The following is a 27,628-nucleotide window of genomic DNA, read 5'->3' on the forward strand; positions in this document are numbered from 1 at the left end:
TGAAAAGCAGTGAGATTCTGAATTGGAGCAATACTATCTTCCAGCACCTGAGTCCTATAGCAACCAGCATGCTTCCACTGCAAAGTCTGGAAATGCATCTGGGAAGCATCAACCAAGGGCCAGATGCTCTGCCTGGTGGGGGACACCAGGGGACATTACCCTCAAGGAGTTAGCCTGTAGGGAAGGCAGATGGGAAAGCAAACAATGTCAATGGAGTTCAACACATGGCCACAATAGACAGCTGTAAAAGATAGGAAGGGGGCACAGACGAGGGGGTCGTCAATTCTGCACAGGAGGGTAGAGGAGGCAGGGCAGGGAAATCTCCCCAGGAGATATGATGGCTGAGTGGGGCCTTGAAGAGTGGGTATAGAGTAGCCAAGATGACAAAGGGGTATGGAAGTCCAGGAAGAAGCCGTGGCATAACAAAGGCATGGCTGTGTGGAATAACACATGGAAGTTGTAAGTAGCTCCTTAGGGCTGTTTATGGAGGTGAGCTGGGAGCAGTGGCAGCTGGCAGTCAGGTAGGGGCCAGATCAAAGGACCTTTTGTGTCACATTGAGGAGCTGAGAAGTCATCCTGTGAATGAAACGGCACCTTGAGGGGCTTGAGGTTGGACAGCAAGGCAGTCATAGCTGTGTATCTCTGCCAGAGGACGCTACACTGCCAAAACACATCGGAAGGATTGGGAAGGGGAAAGATTGGGATTTGCAAGGTCAGTTTTAGGAGGTCATTGTGCTTAAGAGTCTTGGTGATGAAGCCTGGGATGAAGGCACTGGCCCTGGGGTAGTTCAAGGGCACTTCTGTGATATACTCAAGAGGTGGACACAACAGGATCTCACGGTTCCTGGGAAATATGAGGCAGAAAAGGGAAATATAGCTCTAGAGCTCCAAATTGGGTGACAGAGTGAATTGTGGTGCTAACAACCAGGGTAAGGTATATAGGAGAAGGTTTTTTGTTTTTGATTGAGAGTGGTTGGGTATGAGAGGTTGGGAGGAAAAAGAAAGAGAGAATGAGCTCAATGGAGTTAGTTTTAGACCCAGTGCATTTGAGATGTTTATGAGATGTTCAGGTGGAGATGTCCAGCAGGCAGCTGGGTGTATAGTGGAGCCCCCTGTCATTCACATAATTCATTTACTCAAATTTAAGGACACACAGTCAGCAAACAGAGAGACACAGAGAAAGAAATAGACAGTTTAAAAAGTGTTGATCACTCCACTCTGCTCAGCACATGCTTAGTACAGAGGATGAGATGGAAGACCCCCGCCCTCCAGTGCCTCAGTGGGGCCCAATTGCCAGGTGCGCCTCGAAGCCTGAGCATCTGGCCTTGCTGAGTGTGGCTCTAGGGTGGGGTCAGCAGGCCTGTACCTAATGGCCAGATCTGACCCGTCACCTGTTTTTGTTTGGCCAGTGAGCTAAGAATAATTTTTAAAATTCTAAATGTTAAAAAACAAATCAAAAGAATATCTCATGTCATGTAATAATTTTATGAAATCCAAATGTCAGTGTTTATAAAGTTGCATTGGAACATAGGAACAGGGAGTCAGCAGGGCCTTTCTGGAGGCTCTAGGGGAGAATCCATTCTCTTGCCTTTTTGCAGTCCCAGAGGCTGCCTGAATTCCTACACTTGCAGCTCCTTCTCCATCTTTAAAGCCAGAAATGAGGATTGAGTCTTCCTCCCATCACAGTGATTCTGACACTCACTCTTCTGCCTCCTCTTCCACATTTAAGGACCCTTGTGGTTACACTGAGCCCACCCAGGTAATCCAGGAAAATCTCCCCATCTCAGGCTAGTTGATGCACAGCCTTAATTTCATTAGCTACCTTAATTCCCCTCTGCTATGTAACACAACTCGATTACAAGTTCTGGAAATTAGGACATAGACATCTTTGCTGGGGGGGTGGGTAGTTTTATCCTGCTGACCACAGATAGAGATACAGACTTGGGAATTCACAGATTTAGGGTGGTATTGAAGAGCAAGAGAATGGATGGTACAGCTCATGGAAAAGGCATGACTGAGATGAGGCATAAGGAAAAATCCATGGCACACACAAGGCTTTGAGTGGCACAAGAGGAAAATCCTAAAAAGGAGATGGAAACAGGAACAGTTCAAGGAAAGTATCTGATCTAGAAAGCCAAAAAGAGAAAAGACTTCCAAGCAGAAGAGAGGAAAATGCTATATGGCAGCCAGGAGAGATCTGGGCTGAAAGGCAGCCTTCGGACTTGGTGACTACACATGGTGGTGGTGCCTGATGGCTTGGCAAGACCTGTTGTTAGTACCCTCGTCCCCTTCCAAGCCCCTGTGACTTGTCTGGGGAACAAGAGTGGAGCACTTGATTTAGGCCTATCCACAGCATTGCTTTTTCCCGCCTGTAGGAGTTGGTTCAGGGCTGAGCGCTTGATTCTATGTGGGTCAATGAGAAGCAATGAGGAGCCATGAGATTGTGCTGGGATGATTTTAATGTAGGGTTTTTCCAGGCCTGTGGCTTCCGTGACCATCTTTACACCCAAGTGAAGAAGGTTTGATGAGGGAGTAAGGGAGAGAAGAGAGAGAGTAGGAATAAGAGCAAGAGAAAGGAGAGATTGAGAAGGAGAAATCAGGTCAGATGACATCATGTGAGCCCTGCTGAAGCCAAGACTGGACACCTCACTTCTGGAACCAATATATTTGTTTTTATTTTTCTGAAGTCAGTTGGAGCCTGGCTTTCTGTCACTTGAGCCATATGAATCCTATCTGATCTGGGGGTCTTTAGCATCTTTTGCCGTGCAGAATCGGTGAGTAGAAGCTTGAAGATGGTGTGCTAAAAATGCACCTCACAAAAGAAAAGAGCCTCTAGTAGAGATGCATTCGCCTTGGTGACTACCATATGTTAAAAGATGAAGCCTGTAGGATATTCAGAGAGGGCTCCCCGCTGGGCCTGTGCCCTCTCGGGCTCTCCGGCTGACTCTCTGTGGTGATGACTGCTCTAGAGCAGCCGCTCTGGAAGCATGGACCTGGCACAAGCCACATCAGCATCACTTGGGAATTGGTTAGAAATCCAAAGTCTCAGATTTCTCCAGACTTCCTGGATGAGAAACTCTGGTGACTGTGGAAGCCCACAGTCTGTATTTTTAATAGGCCTTCCGAATGACTGTGATGTACACTAAGGTTTGAGAACCATTGTTCCTGGACTGCAGTTTCTAACTGTTGCAGGGAAGAGTATCACTGGAGGGTCATATTGGATGCACGTGGAATTCAGTGGATCTTGAGGTCAAGGGAGGCTGGAGATGTGATTTCCCTGCTGAAACTGACACACTGAAATTCTTACCTTTAAACACTTGGTTCACAGCCTCACTGCAACAACATGATTTTGTGATAGAAGTTGAAACACAGGTTTGGGTTTTCCTGAAACATCAAAGTGCTGTGATTTTCCAGTTGCAAAGACATGGCATCAACCTAAATGCCCATCAATGATAGACCGGATAAAGAAAATGTGGTACACAGACACCACAGAATATTATGCAGCCATAAAAAAGAATAAGATCATGTCCTTTGCAGGGACATGGATGGAGCTGGAGGCCATTATCCTTAGCAAACTAATGCAGGAACAGAAAACAAAATATCACATGTTCTCACTTACATGTGGGTGCTAAATGATGAGAACACACATGGACACATAGAAGGGAACAACACACACCGGGGCCTTTTGGAGGGTGGAGTGTGGGAGGAGGGAGAGGATCAGGAAAAGTAACTAATGGACACTAGACTTAATACCTGGGTGATGGAATAATCTGTACAGCAAAACCCCATGACACAAGCTTACCTATGTAACAAACCTATGCACATGTAGCCCGGAAGTTAAAATAAATGTTAAGAAAACAAAGGGCAGTGATTTGTGAGTTCTGGTTTCTTTTCTGGAAATTGTGATGATTGATTTAGATCTCTTTAGTCACAGCTGTATAATCCCACTGGCTCCTGATGAAGTGTGGTGTCATGGAAGAGAATGTGATCAATGAGGAAGCATCCCACTTCTTCAAGTACAATGGGGTGTACGAAAGCGGGTGTCTTCTATATAAAATGGAAAATGAAGCTCTTCGATAATGGATTCTTACTCTATCTAGGGCTTCACTGGGCTAAGAGCTATGCAGCGTGCTGCATAATAGAAGACATTTAATGGGGTGCATTTCAGAGACACAGAAATCCACCAGGACTCCCAGTTAAGATGGAGGGGGAAATGACCTTAGGAAAGTCTGAATCACTTTCCTCAGAGGTAGGAGGTGAGTACCTGCTGGTGCCAGGTACTTTTGCTTTACTTCTCACAGCAGAGTAAACATTCATGGAGGGAGAAAACATGGGCTTGGAAGTCACGGAACCTGAGTTTGAATCTTGGTGCTATCACTTGGTAGCTGTGTGACCTTAGATATGGGACCAAATCCATCTGAGCACCTGTTTTTCCATTTAGAAAATGGGGATAATACTTGTCTTCTTCAGTTGTCATGAGGTGTAGAAGGGATGTAAGAAGCACTTGATACATAAAACATACTCAGTTGATTTTCCTCTCCTCTAAGCCATCTATTATACTTCCCCAGTCTCCTTTCCTCAAGTGCCGAGCGTCTTCATGTTGCCCTCCTGAGTCGCAAGTCTTACACTCTTGCCAGACTGTTTCTCTGCTATGTCCTCAAGTCTTCAGAATTACTTTCCTTTCCTCCTCCAATAATAACCTCCCCTTTCCAACATAGCCAGGCTCGATGTTGCCATTACCATCTAATTAAAGAAATTGATGATCCTGCTGAACTTGACAGGGCAAGGCCTCCCAGGTGCTCACTGCTTTGCCCTTTCCAGTCTGCAAAGGAGCTGATTAAGCCACAGGACTCTCCTGCTGGCAGGTGTATGGAGAAGGTGCACCTTGGGGCTGATAGGTGCTTCTGGGATCTCCTCTCATGGATGCGTTCTCTCCTGCCTCCATTCATTCATTCATGCAGTGAACGGGTGGAGGGTCTGACTTACAAGAGCCAGGTACTGTGCTGGTTACAGGGGAAGGAAAGATGAATGAGATAGTCTTGCAAGTCAAGAAACTCAGACCTGGAGAGTAGACAGACTCAGAAAGTTATAATGAAGAATAGAGTATTTGGGGAATGCAGAAGAGGAGGCATAAGTCAACAAGATGGGTAGAGTGTGCCCGTCAGGAAAGGAGGATGCCTTCAGGAAGGTTTGAGTCTCAAAAGACAATTAAATAGGTGAAGAGGTCATGAGATGGCCTGTTAGCTAAGGAGCCAGTATTACCAACAACAGAGATAAGACACACAGGGTGTGTTCCTGAGAACCCCAGAAAATTACATTGTTCCTCTGTACAGTTTGAGATAATGTTTGAAGATAAGGCTGAGTTAGGCTGTGGCCTGCTAATTTTATCCAATGAATGGGCAGCCCCTATAAGTGTCCATTGGGCAGGGACAGGGAGTGGCTGATCAGACTTAACTAAATGTCTAGCTAAAATGTCTTGAGTGCTTACCACGTGCCAGGCACTGTTTTAAGCGTTTCACTGTAATTGAATCATTTAATGTAGCTCCCTCTAGCACGGAGGGGAGGATGGGCTTGGGAAGGGGAGACGGGGGGCAGGGAGGTTGATCAGAAGCAGGAATGAATGAACATGGGGTAAGGGTGGGGGGATAGGGGTCCAGTGGGTCCCCAGGAGTCCAGCGCTGGCAGTGGTCTGAAGAGTGGTATCATGGACCGAGCCAGAGAAGGGGGAGAGCAGCAGGCTCCCAGGAAGGGCTGAGTTATCTCTGGGAGTGCCCCATAGAGCTGGGCGTCACATCTCATGGGGAAAGGGTAGTTTGTCCTTGGACCCTGAAGCTGGAAATCTTGCATTCACCCCAGGTCTGGCCTTTGTACTACCAGGTGTTGGCTCGCTCTTTCCCGATTGTAAATACAATATCTCTGCCTCACACACATCTTTGTTCCAAACCAGATCTCTTGCAGGAGAGGAAAGTCGTCCGCGACAATGGCTTCTCCTTGCTCTTGTTGCACTGAAGCTTTGAGAACTGCTAGAAGCACCCGCGCTGCGGGAAGACAGCTGAACATCCTTGCCTCTCCAGGATGCCCTCAAAGGAGGCGAGTTGCTGCTACGCCGCCCTTGACCTCTGCCTTTGCCCGAGCGCTCTGCCCTCCTCAAAACGCACGCGGGCAGTGAGGGGCTCATCGCCTGGCGCCGCCGGTGGCGCCGGCTGCCAGCAGAGGGCAGCATTGAGACACGAACGAGGGAGCGCCCGCGAGGCGCCGCGGGGGCAGCGGAACCGCAGGACCCCAGCTCCGTGGCGGCTCCAACCTTTCAAGCGACTCCCCCGGGAACCCTTTCTGCCGGGTGTGGGCTGCCGAAAATGAGCAGGTGATAGGAGTGAAAAATGAAACAATTCTGTTCGGCAGAATGAAAATGAGTTGTCAATTAGCATCTTATCTGCCGATGTCACCTTCTCCGCGCTTTAAGATGGCTTTGTCTGCGGGCAGGAGCCGGGGACCTCCCCAGGGCAGAAAGTGGTGGCGCTGCCAGCAGCGGGAGGGGCGTCAGGGGACCGAGCGGAGGCCGGGGGCGGGGGCTAAGGACCCAGGGCCCGTGCAGAAGGGAGGGCGCAGGCGTATTTCCAGCCTGCTGGGGCCAGGTGGAAGGCGACATCCCGGCCTCAGGGGGAGGCACGGGGAGGGCGCGAGAGAGGGCTGCCAGGATCGTGCTTCCCCTCGGTGGTCGGGGTCCGCTTCCGCGTCGGTTCTGTTTATCAGGAGGGCTGGGGGGGATGTTTGGAGTTTTCTTTGTCCTTCACGGTCTCAGTTGACCCTCTGCGGCCCCGCCATTCTCCTTCCCGGCTCCCTCTTGTGCCGTCGCAGATTCCTGGGCGCAGCACGAGGCTACACCTGGTCCTGGATCCTCTCTATTTGGCCAGAAGGGAGGGAGTCTTTTTGTCTCCATTTCCTGCCTCCACACTGTGGAGGCTGAGCCACGTTCCAGAGTCTGAACTGGCCCTCAGCGGAGCTCTTGCAGGAAGCAGCCGAGGTGCGTCTCCGCCACGGACCCCAAGCTGCCCAAGTTAAGTCCTTCTAGAAGGGCGCATTCCATGGAGACCAGAAAGAGAGCAGCAAGCGAGCTGGGAGGGCTGGGTTAGCAGGAGGCGGTCACTGTGAGATCTCCTTCCTTCAGACCCATTAAATAATGATTTTATCCTTGGGCGAAGGTTCCTTGCTGCTGCAAAAGCTGAATCTTTGCTGTTCCCCAGCGTGCTTTATTTCTTTACAGATAGTATTGATTGTTTCCTCTGGATGGTTACCCTCAAAGCCCCAATTTCACCCGCACTCATGGTCTTGGTGTAAATGAAAGCCGTCTCATTTGATGATCATGAAGACCATAAATTAACTTCCGCTAAGAGATTTGGAGTGAAGGGAAGCATTTCTTCCGTCCTATTAGAAGTGATACACTTGGCTGGTTGAGTCAAATTCCTACCTGGCACCAGCAAAGGAAATGCTTGTAACTAGTTGGAGAACCCAAAGCATATTTAGGAATATATACTTTAATTTTTTTATTATTTTATTTTATTTTTTATTTGTTTTTATTTTTTCGAGACGGAGTCTCGCTGTGTCGCCCAGGCTGGAGCGCAGTGGCGCGATCTCGGCTCACTGGAAGCTCCGCCTCCCAGGTTCATGCCATTCTCCTGCCTCAGCCTCCCGAGCAGCTGGGACTAAGGCGCCTGCCACCATGCCCGGCTAAATTTTTTTTTTGTATTTTTAGTAGAGATGGGGTTTCACCGTGTTAGCCAGGATGGTCTCGATCTCCTGACCTCGTGATCCGCCCGCCTCGATCTCCCAAAGTACTGGGATTACAGGCGTGAGCCACCGTAATTTTTTTTAAATTAAAATTTCTTGGAAAAAAATCCTGTTGTTTAAACATGTCAGTGGTGACGTATTACAGTTGTGGGACCTTAACTGAGTCAGGCACCTCTCTCCTTGTTACTAAGGGAGTGGTGAGGAAAGAGCAGAGATTTGTGATCAGACGGAACTGGGTCTGAAACACAGCTCTGCCTTTTACTAATTTTATTATTTCACTTATCTGCGCTCATCTGAACTCATCTAAATGGGTGTAATAATGGTTCACTCACCTTGAATGCAAATACATATAAAGCAAAATAATGTGTATAAAATGTCTGCAGCCCTCTAGGTCCTCCATATTAACTTCCCTTTTTTCATCCTCTTCCTGCTTCTCCTCCTCCTTTTTCTTTTCTTTCTTGTCCTTCTCCCACTTTGCATGGTCGAAAGGCCATAAAATAAACATTGAGACAAATGGAGCCTACCTTATAACCTCAGTTGTATACAAGCTCACTTAAAAAAAGTTACAGCATTTGGCAAATGGAATATATGTGTGTCTTGTGTGTGTGTATGTTATGTGCATACACACACATATTTATTTCTATATTTATCTGTAAGTTGAATACTGGCTCCATTGACCAATATATTGGCTTATGTATATATATATATATTTTACATATGGGCCTATAGGCCAACAATGAACATTAATTCTCTCTCTCTTTCTCTCCATCCCTGCTACACTTTTCCTGGAGATGAATACATAAAAATAGGTATTGTATGAGTTGAGTACCACTTACTCTCACAAGGCTCTTTTGTGAAGCCCAAGTCACAAATAATACTTCACTTATTCACTTATTTTAATTAACTTTTGTACAGAATATCAGGATTGGACAAGATTTTGCTCATCTGATTCCACATTTCACTTGATAATTTTTGATATGTCTGATATTTGCCTCCACTCCCCAGCATAGGACAGGTTGTTGGCCAGTCTCTGCTGGTGACGTAGTTCCAGAGTCAGCCCCGTCTACCATATGATGGCCTTAGAGAGTCTGTTTTTATTTTGAGCAGGGCTCTATTGGCCCTGATTCTGTTTTCTGAAATACTCCAGATTTGTAGGTGTCCATCTTCCCTTAATCTTTTCTTCTGGCTAGGCATTGCTGTTTTTCAGAAGTTTCTTATACAGCACAGTTTTTCTTGTGCACAGGCCTCACCTCTGGATTATAAACTTGTGCAGACCCTCTTTGTAACTCTCACAATAGCCAGTGATATGGTTTAGCTCTGTGTCTGCACCCAAATCTCATGTCAAATTGTAATCTCACATGTGAGGGAGCGACGTGGTGGGAGATGATTGGATCATGGGGGTGGTTTCCCCCATGCTGTTCTCGTGATAGTGAGTGAGTTCTCATGAGCTCTAATGGTTTAAAATGTGGCACATTCCCTCTCTGTCTCTTTCTTGCTGCCATGTAAGATGTGCCCTGCTTCCCCTTCGCCTTCCACCATGATTGCAAGTTTCCTGAGGCCTCCCCAGCCATGTGGAACTGTGAGTTAATTAAACCTCTTTCCTTTATAAATTACCCAGTCTCAGGTAGTTCTTTATAGCAATGTGAAAATGGACTAATACAATTGGGACGTTGGCCTTGCCATGAGTAAGTGGGCCTCACTTAAGTCTCACTGGCTGATTGAGAAGCATCACTAGGAAAAAAGGGAAAGGAAGAAACAATGCCCGCCTCTTGCCATCACAGATAAAGCATATCAAGTTGAGGCTACCAGACTGCTTGGCAAATATGTCACCTTTCTTTTTTGTAGCCTTTCTGCCTCTTACATTGAGTCCTGGCCTTCTGGGGAGCCACTGAACCTGAGCAAAACAGGCTTCTCATGCTTGTCTTGTCAACTTTAATTTATGAGAGTACAGCTCAGATTAGAGGGGAGGAGGGGGAAACAGATACACACCTTCTGTAATGCCAGGAGGGATTGCTCCTTTCTGGTTGTTCTGATCTGGTGATATTTTCATAGAGCAAGTGAACCCAGCTTTCAAACCTCTTCGACACTTGTGAATGGACATACTTGCTATTAAAATGAGAAATATAGGATTAACCACCCAAGCAAATTAAGATGGAAAGATGAAACATCCTATTGAAGGAAGCAAATTAATAGCATTCTTGTTTGAATTACCTGAACTAGATGAGTTAAATTGTTTTCTCTTCAGCTATTGATATTATCCATTCTCAACTTTGCTTTGTATGTGATCATAATCTTTAGATTCGAATTAGATTCAAATTAGATTGAAATCCTGAAACAGAAACAAAGAAGGGAAAACAACCTACCACATCCACCAGACAAATCAGAAACCATAATCTTAATTTTGGATAAAATATACTTTTAAAAATACACTTGAGGCTAGACAGGTAGAGTCAAGGAAGTAACCCTGTCCTTGTGGTGCAGCAACTGTGGTGACCGTACAGTCAACACAATAAGCCCCAGGATTCGCACTGTGGTCCAGCTCATTCAAGCAAGGCTATCTTCAGCAGGGAATTTCCCCTGCAGAAAGCATGCGCACTTTGATTTTACCTGTCCTCAAACTGCTCATTCTGGGTGGAGATTTAAGATGCTAATGAGACTTGTGACATATGAGCAAGCATGTACAGCTACTGTGTGTGTGCACTCAGAGAACCACCCAGAACATGCTTACTAGTAGCAAACACCTATTCCCACCCCCTTATGAATAATCATGTAGGACTCCCATAAAGAGAGTCTCCCTAGTGCCAGTCTTTGCTGTCTCATCCTTTTATGAGCAGCCTGCCCTGAATTCTCTCTCTCAGAGTGTACTGTCTATTCTGCACCTAATTTTAAAAATGTTATTTTTATTTTACAATAAATTACTCTATGCTGGATCTTCTTTGCTGTGCTCTTATTTAAATTCATATATATAATATGAATATATTATATATAATATGTACATATTATATATACATAATATTCTCATATTTAAATTCACATATATAATATGTATATATTATATATACATAATATATATACATATAATATTCTCATATTAAAATGAGAAATATGGGATTAACCACCCAAGCAAATTAAGATGGAGAGATGAAACATCTTATTGAAGGAAGCAAATTAATAGCATTCTTGTTTGAATTACCTAAACTAGATGAGTTAAATTGTTTTCTCTTCAGCTATTATTAATATCCATTCTCAACTTTGCTTTATTGTATATATATACATATATATATACTTTAAGTTCTGGGATACATGTGCAGAACGTGCAGGTTTGTTACATAGGTATACACATCCCATGGTGGTTTGCTGCACCCATCAACCCATCACCTACCTTAGGTATTTCTCCTAATGCTATCCTCCTCCTAGACCTCCAGCCCCCAACAGGCCCCGGTGTGTGATGTTCCCCTCCCTGTGTCCATTTGTTCTAATTGTTCGACTCCCGCTTTATGAGTGAGAACATGCGGTGTTTGGTTTTCTGTTCTTGTGTTAGTTTGCTGAGAATGATGCTTTCCAGCTTCATCCATGTCCCTGCAAAGGACATTAACTCATCCTTTTTTATGGCTGTATAGTATTCCATGGTGTATATGTGCCACATTTTCTTTATCCAGCCTATCATTGATGGGCATTTGGGTTGGTTCCAAGTCTTTGCTATTCACTTTGTGAATAGTGCTGCAATAACATATGTGTGCATGTATCTTTATAGTAGAATGATGTATAATCCTTTGGGTATATACCCAGTAATGGGATTTCTGGGTCAAATGGTATTTCTGGTTCTAGATCCTTGAGGAATCGCCACACTGTCTTCCACAATGGTTGAACTAATTTACACTCCCACCAACAGTGTAAAAGCATTCCTATATCTCCACATCCTGTTCAGCATCTGTTGTTTCCTGAATTTTAATGATCGCTATTCTAACTGGCGTGAGATGGTATCTCATTGTGCTTTTGATTTGCATTTCTCTAATGACCAATAATCCTCCGCTTCCTGGGTTCAGGTGATTCTTCTGCCCCAGCCTCCCCAGTAGCTGGGATTACAGGTGCCCGCTGCCACACCCAGCTAATTTTTGGTCTTTTTAGTAGAGACAGGGTTTCACCATGTTGGTCAGGCAGGTCTCGAACTCCTGACCTCAGGTGATCCATTCACCTTGGCCTCCCAAAGTGCTGGGATTACAGGTGTGAGCCACCGCACCCGGCCAATGAGCTTTTTTCCATATGTTTGTTGGCTGCATAAATGTCTTCTTTTGAGAACAAAAGCCAAAATTGACAAATGAGATCTAATAAACTAAAAAGCTTCTGCACAGCAAAAGAAACTATTATCAGCATGAAAAGGCAACCTACAGAATGAGAGAAAATTTTTGCAATGTATCCATCTGACAAAGGGCTAATATCCAGAATCTACAAGGAGCTTAAACAAATTTACAAGAAAAAACAAACAATCCCATGAAAAAGTGGGCGAAGGATATGAACAGACACTTCTTTAATTTTTTTACAGTAAAAAGACAAGAACCGTGATATCACAACAGCCGTTAACACATACACTGAAATAAAAACGTTGGGGTTGGAGTGTGATTGGTTTTCTGAAAGAATAAAAGGTGACTCTTCAAATATGGTAGGTACAAAGACCCGTTGTACTGTTTACATTTCAAAACTAGGTTTAAGCTGATAGCTTTGAAGATGAAACAAGAGGAGGAGGAGCCAGGCCAGGTCCTTGGGGGCATCTTGCCTGTCCTTCCCCCTCCTGCTGCATCAGTGTCTCCAGTGTCTGCTGTGCAGAAGCTTTTTAGTTTATTAGATCTGATTTGTCAATTTTGGCTTTTGTTCTCAAAAGAAGACATTTATGCAGTGTCTCCAGGCTTTTCAGTTACCAACCCCTCCCCTCGGGCAAGTCACACAGGCACCCACGGCTGCTGGAAACGATTGTGGTCAGTGGATATGGGCAGTTATGATGTCGTCTCTTTGTGGGGCACTCACAGTATCCAAGGTGGCCACTAGCATGCCTCTTCTCCATGCATTTGATCTCATCATAATTCTGTCACGTAAGTGTTACAAATTCCCAGTTCTGGGTGAGGAAACGGAGGCACAGAAAGATTAAGTAATCAGAGGAAATTTCTTCTGTGGGTTACTGGAAGGCTTCAGATTTAAGACCAGTTTCCTTCTATCCCAGCATGTTTCTCAGACCTATTGCATTGCTGTGCAGTCAGAAAATGTGTCCTCCTTTGTTTCTCATGGTGAGTGGCAGCAGTGCCCTCTTTGGTTGTTTGTATCTGGAGGCTGTCATCACCATCAACATCAGTTCCAAAATCTTACTTTTCTTGCAGCATGTGGCTTCACAGGAAAAAAAAATTAAATGCACAGGACTTCAGCTTGTTATTAGCTGAATTCACATGTGAAATACACTTTTTTAAAAGAGGGAAGTATGTCACTCTAAGTCAAGGAAATAAGTATCTTAGCATAAACCTATGAACCTAATATTCCAAGTTTAACCCCTATTTAGTAAGGATTAAATGGGGTTCTAGCTGCCATAGAAAAGGAGGAAGGGGTTCCAATTGATACTGGAAGGCAGGACACAATCCCCAAGAAAGGACTCTGAGTAATGAGGGAGGATCCCCCTGGAAATGGGGGTGCTCTCCATGAAATCTGTGCCCAGGCCCATGGAAGGCATCCTGCAATGCCCTCTCATCAGAGAGGACTCACATTCCCTACAGTGGCACCACAGATTTGTGAGTGACATTTAGGGAACCATGTAGCATGGTGAAATAAAATAATATTCATATTAGAAAAACTGTTCCTGATGGATCACATTTCAGCAGATAAGATATTAGTTCTTGGCCTAATAACATATGGCACAGAATCAGCAAAGAAGAACAGGACAAATGGCGAGGAGCATTATTGGATTGGGGGTGTCCCCAGCCATGCTGGCTGAGCTTCACCAGCTGCCTCACTTAACTTTATCTGTAGTTTGCTCTATCTGTCTGCATCCATACACATGTAAATAAATGTTCACACTGTGACTTGTATACAGCGTTTATGTCATGGCATGGTGTGATGTGAATTCATATCATCAGCATGGTGGTGGGGTCTTCATACAGTCTTTAGTTAAAGACACCCTTTAGGTATTGTTTTGGCAACATATCTGAACTAGGTATGTATGCTCAACCTGCAAGTGAGGTGACTCTCCTGGGGGCCAAATCGAGCAGATCAGGGCAATAGCAACCCTTGACAAAGAGCAGCTGAAATAGGACCTCCTTCTACTGGGGGTGTCCCCTTTATAAGATGGAGAGCTTTTCAGAGCAGGTGAACAGACTGGGCATTGAAAGTCCTTGTTGATGCTTCAGCCTGAGGGAGAAAGGGAATCACGTGTTTCCAGTGCAAACCTCAAGCTGGCTTGGGGAAAGACCTAGTCATGAGCAAGGTCTTTAAATATCCAGACCTCAGCTTGAAGCCTCACTCAATGAAACAGAACAGCCAAGAGATTTTTCACTTGTTTTGATGGCAGTTCTATTTCTTGGAAGTTAGGAGAGGTGGATATTGCAACTGTGGAACTAGTTCAGATCAACTAGGGGAATACATAGTAATTGAAAAAACCCGGGTGTAAAAGAGAATGTCATCTGAGCCACAAAGACATTTCTGGGCATAGTAGTTATACTGGGCACCTATGCATTTAGAAATTCAGTTTTCAAAATATCCTAGATAGGTGTAACTCTATTTAATTCTTGTGTGGGTTTCTTTTCTATCACTTTCTGCTTTACCCTCTGAAAATGTCTCCATATCCTCAAATAAAAGGTATGAAAAACAAAAGTAACATAGGAAAAGGCAAAAACAAATGGAACTTGCTTAATTCCTGTTTTCCATTTAAATATTTCTCAGGGATAAGAATTTTATTGGAAATGATAGCATTGACTACCATAAAAGGAACTCAGCATTAGATCAATGCTTATAAAAGTGAGTCTGTTATGGTTTATACATTTTTAAGTCTCTGGCCAAACTGGGTTGTATCATAGGAAAGTGAGAAAAAAAACTTATATATTCAATTGCAATGACGCTGTCAGGAACCCCTGAGGGGTCTTGGAGCATGATCCAGGGGCCTTATAGTAAAGACAGAATTTTCAAATGAGAAAAATCAAAACCGTGTATTCTGAACTGGTGAGCCTATGTATAGTTTAGGCAATATTTCAGAACACATATTTAGAACATAGTTTTAAACGGGAGTTTTTGAGTACTCCAAGTCAGGAGCAGTGATCTCTCAAATTCAGCATTGGTTCTTAAGGATGTCCTGTCACACTGACAACCTTTCTTTATTCTTTGGGTCCTGAATGAATGTATATGGTGTACTTGAATTTCAGCAAGATGTCTTGCATATTTCTCACTTATGTGGACTGTCTCGTAATATTGTTAGCTGGATCAGTAACTGCTTGAATACTCATATTCTTTCTCTGTCCCAGCCTGGGAGATGCTTTTATCACAACACAGATGTGGAGGTGGGTGGCATGCTTATCAAATCTGTGGTGACATATGGAAGGACAGTTAAAATCCTAAATGACAACATCCACAGTACAAAAGAACAATATTAAACAGGTGGCCAGATGGCCTCAATAGAAAAAAGTCCACACAAGGCTCCTACCCTTGCCTGCCCCTCCCCACTCTCATTGATACAGTGAGAGGCTACTCGTGATGAGGTTTTGCGGTAGCATGTGATGGATAGATGCCATTTTTAGTTGGCTGAGAGATTAATAATGGAGAGCTAACAAGATACAGGTTCCTCCAGGCTTTTGCAGCTTTGGAATTTGAGATTTAGAAGCACAGTTGATACCAGTGTGGTGTCCAGAGCAAGGGAGCTCTCTGATGGGCCCATCTTTCCTGTGACAGCCAGACCAAATCTAGACTGCTCTATCCCACTTTGAAGAGTGCATTTTCAGAGAGACATTGCTAAACAGGTGTATATGATTGAAATGACTGAGGAATATAGATGTTCAACCAAGAGAAAAGAAGACTGATGTGTGTGTGCCGACACATGTGTACGTGTGTCGTGATATCTGGGTTCAAACATAGCAAGAGTCACTTGCAGAAAGAGGACTGGAAATATGTTGTGTGATTCCAGGAACATTCCAATTGCAGCTCAAATCTCACTTTCTCAGAGGCTCAGAGGACCCATTTATGGTCCCCATAAAAAGCAGCCCCTCCCAGGCACACTCCCATTTAATTTCTGCTATAAACACTTAGCATAAGTTGAAATTTTTTTTGGTTGTTTTCTTATTAAAAAAAATCCACTAAAATATAATCTCCATGAAGCAAGGGCCTTGTCTTTCTTGTTCAATGCTGTATCCCAGGTGCCCAAGCCAATACATTGCACACAGTAGTTACTTACTAAAAAAATAGTTGAAAGAAAGAGAGGAGAGGAAGAAGAAAGGAAGGAAACAAAGAAAGAGATAGAATCAGCCAGGCGCAATGGCTCATGCCTGTAATCCCAGCACTTTGGGAGGCTGAGGTGGGTGGATCACCTGAGGTCAGGGGTTTGAGACCAGCCTGGCCAACATGGCAAAACCCCATCTCTACTAAAAATACAAAAATTAACCAGGTGTGGTGGTGCATGTCTGTAATCCCAGCTACCTGGGAGGCTGAAGCAGGGGAATCACTTGAACCCGGAAGGTGGAGGTTTCAGTGGGCCAAGATCACGCCACTGTACTCCAGCCTAGGCGACAGAACGAGACTCTGTCTCAAAAAAAAAAAAAAAAACAAAAAACAAAACAAAAAGAAAAAGAAAAAAGACAACAGAAAAAAAGAGAGTATCAGTGAATTCCAATGCAGAAAAGTAGAAGCAGTGGATAGAGTTGTGGGAGACTCATTTGAACTTAACATGAGGTGGGATGTTCTAATAATTGCATCTGGCATTTGAGCCAGCTCTTTCTGGAGACAGTCCCTCTAACTGGATATTTTCAAAGAGAGTATTGTAGCCCAAAACTAGAAGGTGAAATAGATTCAATGACCCCTACAATTTATTCTGACCTTGAGATTAAGCTAAAAATATATTTTATACTTAAAATTTGCCATCCTTTTTAGGAATTCAACATTCTATAACATCAAGCCTTATCAGCTAAGCCATGTGGATTCTGCTTATTAAGGAAGCACATAGCTGCGGGTGAGGGGAAGAGGTGAGAATGTGACTGTGCTCAGAATCTGTCACTATCACAAGGCTGAAAATCCCACTTCTGAGTAGCTTTGGGAAAGTCAATTTTAACTTTTTGTTTCAGTTTTCTCATTTGAGAAAGGTGTGTGTGTGTGTGTGTGTGTGTGTGACTCTCCTGCAAGGGGATGGACTCGACCTGGTGCAGGCCAGGAAATCCTTTGTCAGTGAGATGAGAACCCTTAAAAGACATGATTTAGTTTCCCACATTCCAGTTTTGCTCTTCTCCAAGCCCAGGAATGCCTCACTTCTGGTCCAGCAGGGGAAGGCACTGAGCTTGCCAAAGGAAAGCTACACAGAGAGCCAGGGGCATGGCGCTTAGGACTTCCCATGGTTGACCAGACGCTTGGGCAGCTTTTGGTGACTTATCTATTCCTTTCCACATTTCTCTAAGCTTAGTCTCCTGAGACCAGATGCTAGGGGAGACTGGCCTTTGTCTCATTCTCCACACCTCACCCCCACATCCAGTTTCTATGGGGGTCGGGGGCGTTTGGGAAGCCTGGCTTTGATTCCACCCCCAGCCCTCCTCCCCTCCCATGCAGACCATGTTGGGAGCTTGGCCCCCTGCCCACAATGCAGATCAGCAGTCCAGCAGAGCTTCCTCTACTGCTTCAGGGGTGAGACAGCAGTAGCTGTGTCAAGGAATCCCAGCTGGTGTGTGCATGTGTGTTCCTTGCCTAGGTAGCATCCACCCTTTGGTACATCATGGCCACTCCCTCTTTTCTGTGGTTTCACTTGAAGCTGTGGCTCGAACTGGCCCAGTGTGAGCTGGTTCCTGGAGTTGATACGTAGACATTGCGAGTGATGAGTCCACTTTTCACAGAGGTTGCTATGCTGGGAGGATGAGCATCTAGACCCCTGAAAGTCATCGTTCCTGGCCACAAGCAAAAAGCTACCTGCAGCAGGTGAGTTGGCCACAAACCAAAGCACAACCTCAAATGGAACCAGAGAGAGCCAGGGACATTCTGGGGGCCTGTATAAGCCAGATGTGGGAGCCAGTGCACCCCCAGACTATGTTTGAGCAGTTTAGATTTGTCACTTGCAAGAAAAAGAATTTCAATGAATGCATGAGCTACCAGTGGCAAGACAGGCACAAACTCTCGTATCTACTTATAGGCAACAGAAAGGCAATGAGAGGGGAAGAGAGGTGAGAGCCAAGCTTCTGAGATAACAGTTTAGCAGCTTGGTGGAATTTGAAAGGTAGGTACTGAAGTCAAGGGGGCTCTTCAGAAGATATTGCAATAAACAAAATGGAAAAGGGTCCAAATGGTTAAACTAATATTTACTGAATATTGAAATATTTATTTATAGGCCCTTGGGCTCTATTCTTAATTACGTTATCTTGTTAATATTCGCAATAACCCTATGAAGTATATATTCTCCCCATTTTAGTCATGAGAACACTAGGGCTTAGTGGGGTTGAATTACTCTTTCAAGACCCCATGCCTAGAAAGAGGCAGTTTTATGGAGGCTAGATCAGCCTTATTTCTGTTTCTAGTACCCCCAAAGACTTCTTAAAGTGAGAATAGGGCCCTAAGGAGAGCTGTGTGTTTTTGTGAATGACAGGATATCAAAGCAGGGGACAGTAGGAGGCAGTGAGGGATGGGAGCACCCGGGCCCCAGGTGTGCCTTTCACAGGGGCAGGGGAGAAGTGATGAGTCCAACTTTGGATGTGCAGAGTTCAAGAGGGACCCTGCTGGTTCACCCAGGGCCTTGCACAGTGCCTAGCATCTAACAAGTGGCTCGCAAATATTTCCTGAAAGAAGTAGTTTCTAATTCATGTCTTTTTCCCTTGCTAGGGGTGATCCAGTCAAATATAAGGCCCCTTCCTTGCTGAATTTCTGATCTGAGGTCTTTAGGGTCCTAGTTTATGAAAGTTGAAGTAATGAGTTTGAGAGCTTTAGAGGAAGGCAGACGTCAGATAAACATCCTAACCTTTGCTCTTCTCTCCACCTGCTGGGCATGCCATGGAGGAGGATATTTTGCCCCCCGCCCCCAGCTTTCTTTTCTATTTCTTCTTCTATTGGCTGGTGTGGGTTAAGATTATCTATCTATATGTCTTAGCTCAGGCTGCTACAACAAATTACCATAGGCTGAGTGGCTTAAACAACAAACATTTATTTCTCACAATTCTGGAGCCCAGGATGCCAAGATCAAGGTGCCAGCAGATTTGGGGTGCAATGAGGGCTCACTTCCTGGTTTGCAGATGGCTGCTTTCTTGTTATGTCTTCACATGGCAGAGGGAGAGCACAAGATTGCTCTTGTATCTCTTCTTGTATGGGCATGGATCCCATCATTAGGGCCCTACCCTCAGGCCTTCATCTGAACCTAACTACCTCCTGTCTCAGCCCGTTTGTACTGCTATAACAAAATACCACTGCATGGGGAATTCATAAATAATAGAAATTTATTTCTCATAGTTCTGGAGGCTGGAAAGTCCAAGATCAAGGCTCCGGTGGGTTCGTTTGTATGGAGAAAGCTGCTTTCTTCTTCCAAGATGGCGCCTTATCACCACGTCCTCACAAGGCAGAAAGGGTCAATATTGTGTCTTCACATGGTGGTAGGCAGAAGGGCAAAAGCATTTAGCTAGGTCCCGTCCCTTCAGTCCTTCCATAAGGCACTGATCCCATCCATGAGAGTGGGGCTCTCAGGGCATAGCACCTCTCAAAGGCCCCACTTCTCAGTACTGTTGCATTGGGGATTACATTTTAACTAAATTTTGGAGGGGATATAAACATTCAATCCCCAGCATCTCCTAAAGGCGCTGCCTCAAAATACTATCACGTTGGGGGTTAGGGGTTCAATATATGAATTTTGGAGAGTCACATGCATAGCACTACAGGTATCTGAAAATGGTGAGTAGTAGATTAGGAATAGGTCAAGTGCAGTGCCTCACACCTGTAATCCAAACACTTTCAGAAGGTGGGCGGATAACCTGAGGAATTCGAGACCAGCCCTGGGCAACATGGTGAAGTTGGTCTCTACAAAATACACACAAAAAATTAGCTGGGCATGGTGGCACAAACCTGTAGTCCCAGCCACTCCGGAGGCTGAGGGGGGCTGCACTCCAGCCTGGGTAACAGAGCGAGACCCTGTCTCAAAAAAATAAAAAGGAAAAAAAGAAGAAGACCAGGGATAAATAGTACTAACCATCAAATTATTTTCTCTATGCAGAGCACAAGCAAATTTTCAAAATGAGTAATAACAAATTCAGTATTTGAGACATCGTAAATAAGGACTTGAAATGGACAGATTTGCATTTTAGAATTGCCAGTTCAAATGCTCAAATATGGACTTTTGATGCCTAATCAAGAAGCTGCAATTAAAATTTGAAATCTCAATGTTCGCAGGAAAGCAGTCACGATGGTGTGCCAAATGCTTGCCTTTGGAGGCCTTGTGAAAATGTTTACAGGTTAGAAGAAAGAAATGGCTCTCCCAGATGGTGGCTGTGGGCAAGGGATTTCTCCAGGGTCAATGGTGTGAAGAAAATAAGAAGTGCTGCTTTGTTTTGTTTTTGGCATCTGGCAAGGTAAGCAGGAAAATAAAATCCTCCAATAAGAATAAAGGGAAGCGGGAGAGCAGGTTTGTGCCACGGTCGGGGAGCTGAGAGACTGGGACCCAGCACAGCCCACACTCAGGGCTCTGAGTCAGCCCAAGGGAAGGTGCCTCGTGGTCTCAGGGCTGGGAAAGGAGATGGGGGTTGCCTAGAAACTCTGTGCCCTGCTTACAGTGTTCGCTGCCATCTGTCCCTGCAAAATGATGGTTCCAGTGCTTGTCCTGGGTCTCAGGTAGTCTCAGGGATATTGGAGGAAGGGATGAACTTAGGCCACCTGGCAGGCCTGAAACTGGTGTCCTGGGGGCATTTTCAAGCAAAATTGCACCAATACAATTGGATGAGGTTTAGATGTGGAAAATAACTTGTCCTTTCCAAGTCCTTCAGAATCCATTTTTAGCTACATCCCTAGGTTTTTAAGAGTGAATATCTGGGAGCTGGACAAAAAATCCTATAAATCAGACACCACTTTCTTCTTCCCCACAAAGAAGAGAGCGGCAAAAGGAAACCCAAGGCAGCAATTACAAGAGGCTCAGCACTGTTCCTGCTTTTGTTGCTTCTTTTCTGTAGTTTGGTCTTGCTTTGGCTTTGCTATCCTCCACTGTTCACACTATTAATATGAAACCCAAGATGCTTTTTTTGTTTTTTTTTGTTTGTTTGTTTGTTTTTTGCTGGTGGAGCATGGTATTTTATGTTTTAGGCAGGCAGACGTTGATTTTTGTCTGCTCTGAATGAAGCTCTGAATGAAAGTGGCTCTATTCAGCTACAAAATCAAATGCAGTGGAGGTAACATCTTTTCTCTACAAAACATTTCAATTCAAAAATCAGAAACAATCATGACATAAATAGTAGCTACCAAGCTTATGAAGGCAGTATACCATTTTTTGATAGGGAGTGGGAAGAAAAAAATGTTCTGTTTTAATGGATGGTTCGATATAACAAAAAAGAAAACAAAATAAACAAAACCCAAAGCAACATCAGAGAGTTTGCCACGGACTTGAGAATGCATCTTAGTTAGGAGCCAACAGTGAAGTCTGACAATCCTTTGTTCAAGTTCAGGATTAATTAGCTCTGTAGCCATGGGCAAGTTATTGAATGTGGACACTGAGCCTCAGTTTCTTTATCTGCAAGATAATAATAATAAAACTTTCCTTAGAGGATGGCTGTGATAATTTGAGGAGATCTATCTCCTTGAGAACTGTAAATAACTTAACTGTGGAGTTCATTATTCATAGCATAGAGTCAACATTCAACAAATCTTAGCTATTGTTATTGATCATTTCTTTGTAAATTCAGCTGTGGAGGGAAGAAAAAGAATGTGAAAAACAGAGAAAGCATGAGCTGTCCAGGCCAGCTGATGCTAATTATTCTCACATCCATTAAAAGGGCTCAGCAGGCCCATGTGAGTAGGTGTGTGTGCGTGTGTGCATGTGTTTGTGTGTGCGTGGTTGCACAGGTGCCTAGAAGGTGAAGGAGAGTCGCAGGCTCTGGAGCTTTGGGCTGAGCAGGCCCACACAGATGTTGTCAGAAACAGGAAATATAAAATTTCGAGCAAACTGCATGTTAAGTACATGAAGGATAAGTGCGTATTGTGGGTCGTGAGTGTGTTGGGTGTCATATATTTGGAAAACCCTCCAGGATCTCTCTCCTAAAGGATACGCATAGCACCTCTACATTGTCTTGATTACTTGCAAGTATCTACAAGGACTGTTTCCCCAATGCAGGATTTTCTGCACTATTTGACAAACAACCCGCAAGAAAATGCCCCGGCTTGCCTGCATTGCCTTCCTCTATCCTGAGTCTGCCAAAAGGATGGCAACTATTAATTAGTACTACAATATCTCCTTATGAAGGTAACACCAGGAATCTGTGCTTCAATCACTGAAATCCTCTTATGCTTTGGGATAAAGCTCTGATTAGCCTTTTAATGGTGATTATTCAAATGTTCTCTAAACCTTAACTTATTTCATGCCAGTAGGAACAATTTTTTTTTTAATTTCAGAATAAGACTTTTGAGTGAAGGAAACCACGGTACTTAACCCCAAAATATACATCTTTGGCATATTTTGATAAGCCTATTTAGACGGGCTGCAAACCACAGGAATAGCTATGAAAAAATTGTCTTTTGTGGGGGAGATTTGCATCTGTAGAGAAAATCCACATGGGTAAAATAAATAGCCAGGCTTTCTCTGAGGCTCTCTTTATCCAGATCTAGGAAAGATGAACTCACAAGAAAAGGAGACTAAAAGCCTGACACCTTAAAGGTCCCACAGAGAAACTGTTACCCCAGGCACTCATCTGTTCTTTCTGAGAGCTCCTCCCTGAGGGATGTCATCTGTAAACAAGATAGCCTGTTGTGGGCCTGGCCCATAATGGCTCACGCCTGTAATCTCAGCATTTTGGGAGGCTGAGGTAGGTGGATCACCTGAGGTTCAGGAGTTTGAGACCAGCCTGGCCAAAATGGTGAAACTCTGTCTCTACTAAAAGTACAAAAATTAGCTGGGCGTGGTGGTGGGTGCTTGTAATCCCAGCTACTCAGTAGGCTGAGGCAGGAGGATCGCTTGAACCCGGAAGGTGGAGGTTGCAGTAATTCAAAATGGCGCCATTGCATTTCCAGCCTGGGCTACAGAGAGAGATTCCATCTCAAAAAAAAAAAAAAAAAAAAGCCTTTGCTGGCTTTCCTACCCTCACCCTCCCATCACCTGGGTCTCCACCTCCCCCGAGAAGCTCTATGCCCCTATTCATTCTGTAACCTCAGGATAATATAAAAACCTCAACCATCTGGTCCCTCCTGTGAGTCTCACACTTCGGATATGGCTCGTGTGTCCATGTGCATGTTAATAAATTTGTATACCTTTTTTTTCTATTAGTCTGTCTTTTGTCAGTTTATTTCAATAGACTCAGACTTAAATTTTCACAGGAAAAGTCCGAACTTTCCTATACAAGAAAATTCTCAAAAGTCAATACAATTTATAGAGGATGTGTATCTGTGTGTTTTGTTTTGTTTCTTTTTGAGTTTCTTTTCCATTACCAAGCACTCAATATATATTTAAAAGATTACTACACTATGATTTTGATAAATAACAGTAATAATTGGAAGGAAAATTTTTAAACAAACCTTCAAAAAGTTATATCTGCCATGGGTTTTAAAAAATATTATTCCCAAAATGTCAACTTACCTGTGATAAAAATCACTGTAGAGTTTATGAAGGGGAAATAGGAAAATAAAAATTGGTCAGGCCACTTACTCCTTAATTTTGATTTAGGGCAGCATAAAAAACTCTCAATGTATCTGTCCAGTGCTGTAGCACTGATGAAGTTTCCAAGCAATTTTCTAGAGATGGGAGTCAATGACTCTGCATTTATAATCAAGGGGGTCCCACATTGCAGAGATCTACGAAGCACCTTGGGCAATTCTTTTTTGATTGCAGAAGGAAAACAATGAATTTTGACTTCACACTTCATCAATGCCAAAAGCTCTTTTGAATGTATTTCCTTAGGTTTTCCTAAACCTATGAGAGCCTGAAAAAGTGGTATAGAAATCAGGCCTCAGGTATAAAGGCACTCTAGCTTGTGTCAGTTACCTCCCTAAGCTGAACTCTGGATTCTGACCCCTGCTAAGGGTAGGCTCTTTTTTTTGCATAAAACACATAAAAGTAAGGCTAAGTCCACACATAGGCAATTAAATGATTTTTAACAGATGCACTAAAACGATTTACAGGGAAAGGAAAATCTCTTCAACTAATTGTGCTGAGATAACTGAATATTCATATAGAAAAATCAAGATGTTTGACTTATCTAGCCATACACAAGAATCAACTGAAGATGAATCACAGACCTAAATAAAAAAGCTAAAACGATAAAGCTACTGGAATAAAATATAGGGTTAGCTTTATAACTTTGAAGCTAACCCTATATATCTGTACAAATTTCCTAGAGAGTACCCAAACCCATAAATTATTAAAAAGAGCGAACATTAATTGTTTAGGCTATCACAATTAAAAATCTCTGTGCATTAATAAAAAGCATCAAGAAATTGATAGTCAATTCACAGACTGGGAAAAATAATTCACAACACATATATATGACAAATGGCTTTTATCTAGTATATAAAGAACTCCTACAACTCAATAATAAAAAAGACAACAAAATAAAAAATGGGCAATGGACCTAAACACTTCTCAAAAAATGATATACAAATGGCAGTAAACACATGAAAATCAAATAATATCATTTAAGAAATGCAAATTAAAGCCATAATGAGATGCAACTACACACCCACTATAATGGCTAAAATGAGAAAGAATATGAGCCAATCAGAACTTCCATACATTGCCAGTGGGAGTGTAAAATGGTATACCATGTTTAGCAATTTAAAAAAGTTAAACATACATCCAGCCTATGACCTATGTATTTATCCAAGAAGAATGAAAACAACATGTGAAGGATGTTATAGCAGCCTTATTATACACAGTAGCCCCAAACTGGAGACATCCTGCATACCTATCAATGGAATGGATAAACTATCATCTATTCAGGTGATGAAATATTACCCAGAAATAAAAAGGAACAAACTATTGATGTAGGCAACAATATAGATGAATCTCAAAAACATTATGCTGAGTGAAAGAAGCCAGATCCCCCATCCCTAAACTACATAATGTGTGATTCTACTCATATAAGATTCGAAATGGGGCAAAACAATGTTCCACGGTGATGAAAATCAGATCAGTGGCTATTTCTGGAGGAACAGACTGGGAAGGGGTGGAGACACTCTCCAGCTCAATGGAAGTGCTCACCATTTGATGTGTACGTGTTAAGACTGATTGGACAGTACATTTAAGATCTGAGCACTCAGTGTGTACAAATTAAACCTCAATTTAAAGAAAAGAAAGGTAAAATAAAAATCACAGCCAAAAGAATGCCAAATGATCATTGGTAGTGAAATTGGTAGCTTTGATTGTCTTGTAAGTGGTCCCAGCAGAAGATAGAGCAGTGCATAATGAGGGGGCTCAGGTGGCCTGGGTTACTAGGATAAAGCAGCTCTCACAGGCTTAACCAGAAGGGACAGCAGCAAAATGAGACTAGGAGTGAGGGTAGGGTCAAGAGTAGAAAAGAAAGGAGACTAAGGAAAGATCTCACTTGAAATGGATTCCAAAACACTAAATGACAATGGTAAGAATAATAAAAAAAAAAATTTGCCACAGCATGTGGACATGATATACAGTAATAAAATAATTCTCTTTTCTTTTTAAAATGTAGATCTTTTAAATTTTTAATTTTTTTAAAGACAAGGTCTTGCTGTATTGCCAGGTTGCAGTACAGTGGCTCACTGCCACCTCAACCTCCTGGGCCCAAGTGATCCTCCCACTTCAGCCTCCAGAGTAGCTAGGACTACAGGCATGGGCCACCATGCTCTGCTAATTATAGCTGGGACTACAGGCATGAGCCACCATGCTATAATTAAAAACACTTTTTTTTTGGTAGAGATGGGGGTGTCACTTTATTGCCCAGGCTGGTCTCAAACTCCTGGGCTCAAGTGATTCTCCTGCCTCAGCCTCCCAAAGTGCTGGGATTGATTACAGCGATGAGCCATGCAATGGCTGAAAATGGATTTCTTTATGTTCCTTGGTTGTGCTTACAAGTGACATTGTTGGGCAGAACCACATGTTTAGGAGATGCTAAGTAAATACTTGTTGAATGCATGTTCTTCTGGAGGGGCCTTCTTTTCTACCTTAACCTACCTCATCTGCCTTAAACTTCTCTTCCTACTTTTGCTAGTTACTCCTGGGGCTGGCATGATTTAGGACAAGCTGCAAAGGCATGCTCAAGAAGATAATGCTGAGAAAGGATGCTGAAGTGGATTGTACCAAAGGAAAAACTTTGCAAAAACTGCTGGATATGGGGGAGATGTACTCCTTCCCTCCTGGTGAGCAGCTTTAAAATAACAGCCTTTTGTCTCCATTAATCAAATTGGATTTGAAACAGAGAAAAGCACTTTTATTTCCTCAGCCTCCTGAGCTATCTAGTCCATCCTACTGGGGTGGCTCTTTTTCAGGCACTCAAATCATTTATCATGAACGAAATAACTCACTGAGAATATGAAATGTCATGAGTCAAGTCATGGACCTAAATCAGTTAGAGAAAGTCAAACCTTCATACCTTTAATTTATTGTCAGGAGAGAGAATGGCTGCCGTGACATCTCTCTGGAGCTTTGTCATGTGTGTAACAGAAAGAAAGTGAGCTACGTCCTGAACAAAACACCAAGGGTGCAAGAGCAAGGAGACATCAAACCATTGTCTACACCCAGGAAAGGAATTCAGAGTGGTTAGAATCACCTTGATTTTCCTGTGCATTCTCCAGCAATTTGTGGGAGGCCTTCAGAAGTATTTATAGTTCTTCTCCACCCAGGCTTAGACTTTTGCAGATAGAAGTGGCTGACACTTCTTGAGGATAAACTTTTGATCTTGCTGCTCACTGTAAGTGGAGCTGAGGGGTGCTGCATTTCCATTTCTTCTCTGGCCTGAGCTTCTCTGCTGAAGAAACAGAGGACAGATTAGGTCTTCAGATGAGGATGGAAGAGCCCTGTTTGTACAACTTATAAGATTTAGCTGAATTCTAACCTTAAATTTTTACATACATATTGATAGTAGAAATTAATTGTACAATCTTTGAAATCAGTACCAATATTAAGTCAATAAGCCATTAAAAATGACTGAAATCAGTATCTGATTCATGAGGAACATTTGCTTGTTTAGCTTTTCTTTTACCCATTATGATTCCTTACTATGTGAAGGAATCTATATTTAGTAAACAAAACAAAACAAGCATCCTCCCGAAACAAAAACAATTCTACCAGGGCCTTCCTAATGCCTGCCAACTCTGGCAGCCCAGGGGAACTTGCAGTCAAGACTGCAGGAGCAGAAGGAAAATGGAAAAAGGAGAGAAGACTTGCTTACATCTCTACCCTCAGGGCCTTAGAGTATCCCCACCTACCCTTTTCCAAAGATTGTGCTTCTAAATTTCTAAATTACCTCTTCTTGTTAAGAGATTT

General features: G+C 43.4%; 1 protein-coding gene across 2 annotated transcripts in view, besides 2 other annotated features; it reads left to right on the top strand.

The window, feature by feature from the left end:
• CLVS1 (clavesin 1) overlaps positions 1-27,628 on the top strand; it is a 536,782-nt gene that overhangs the window by 168,149 nt on the left and 341,005 nt on the right. The gene's annotated exons all lie outside the window — the stretch shown is intronic.
• Positions 5,886-6,025: an enhancer, noted in NCBI's record as "active region_27444". NCBI's record gives its function as "activates an Ori minimal core promoter by ATAC-STARR-seq in GM12878 lymphoblastoid cells {active_cell/tissue: GM12878}" and the evidence as "EXISTENCE:reporter gene assay evidence [ECO:0000049][PMID:35858748]".
• Positions 6,466-6,625: a silencer, noted in NCBI's record as "silent region_19234". NCBI's record gives its function as "represses an Ori minimal core promoter by ATAC-STARR-seq in GM12878 lymphoblastoid cells {active_cell/tissue: GM12878}" and the evidence as "EXISTENCE:reporter gene assay evidence [ECO:0000049][PMID:35858748]".

This window comes from Homo sapiens, chromosome 8 (assembly GCF_000001405.40).
Source record: "Homo sapiens chromosome 8, GRCh38.p14 Primary Assembly".
In the NCBI taxonomy this organism is placed as follows: Eukaryota; Metazoa; Chordata; class Mammalia; order Primates; family Hominidae; genus Homo; species Homo sapiens.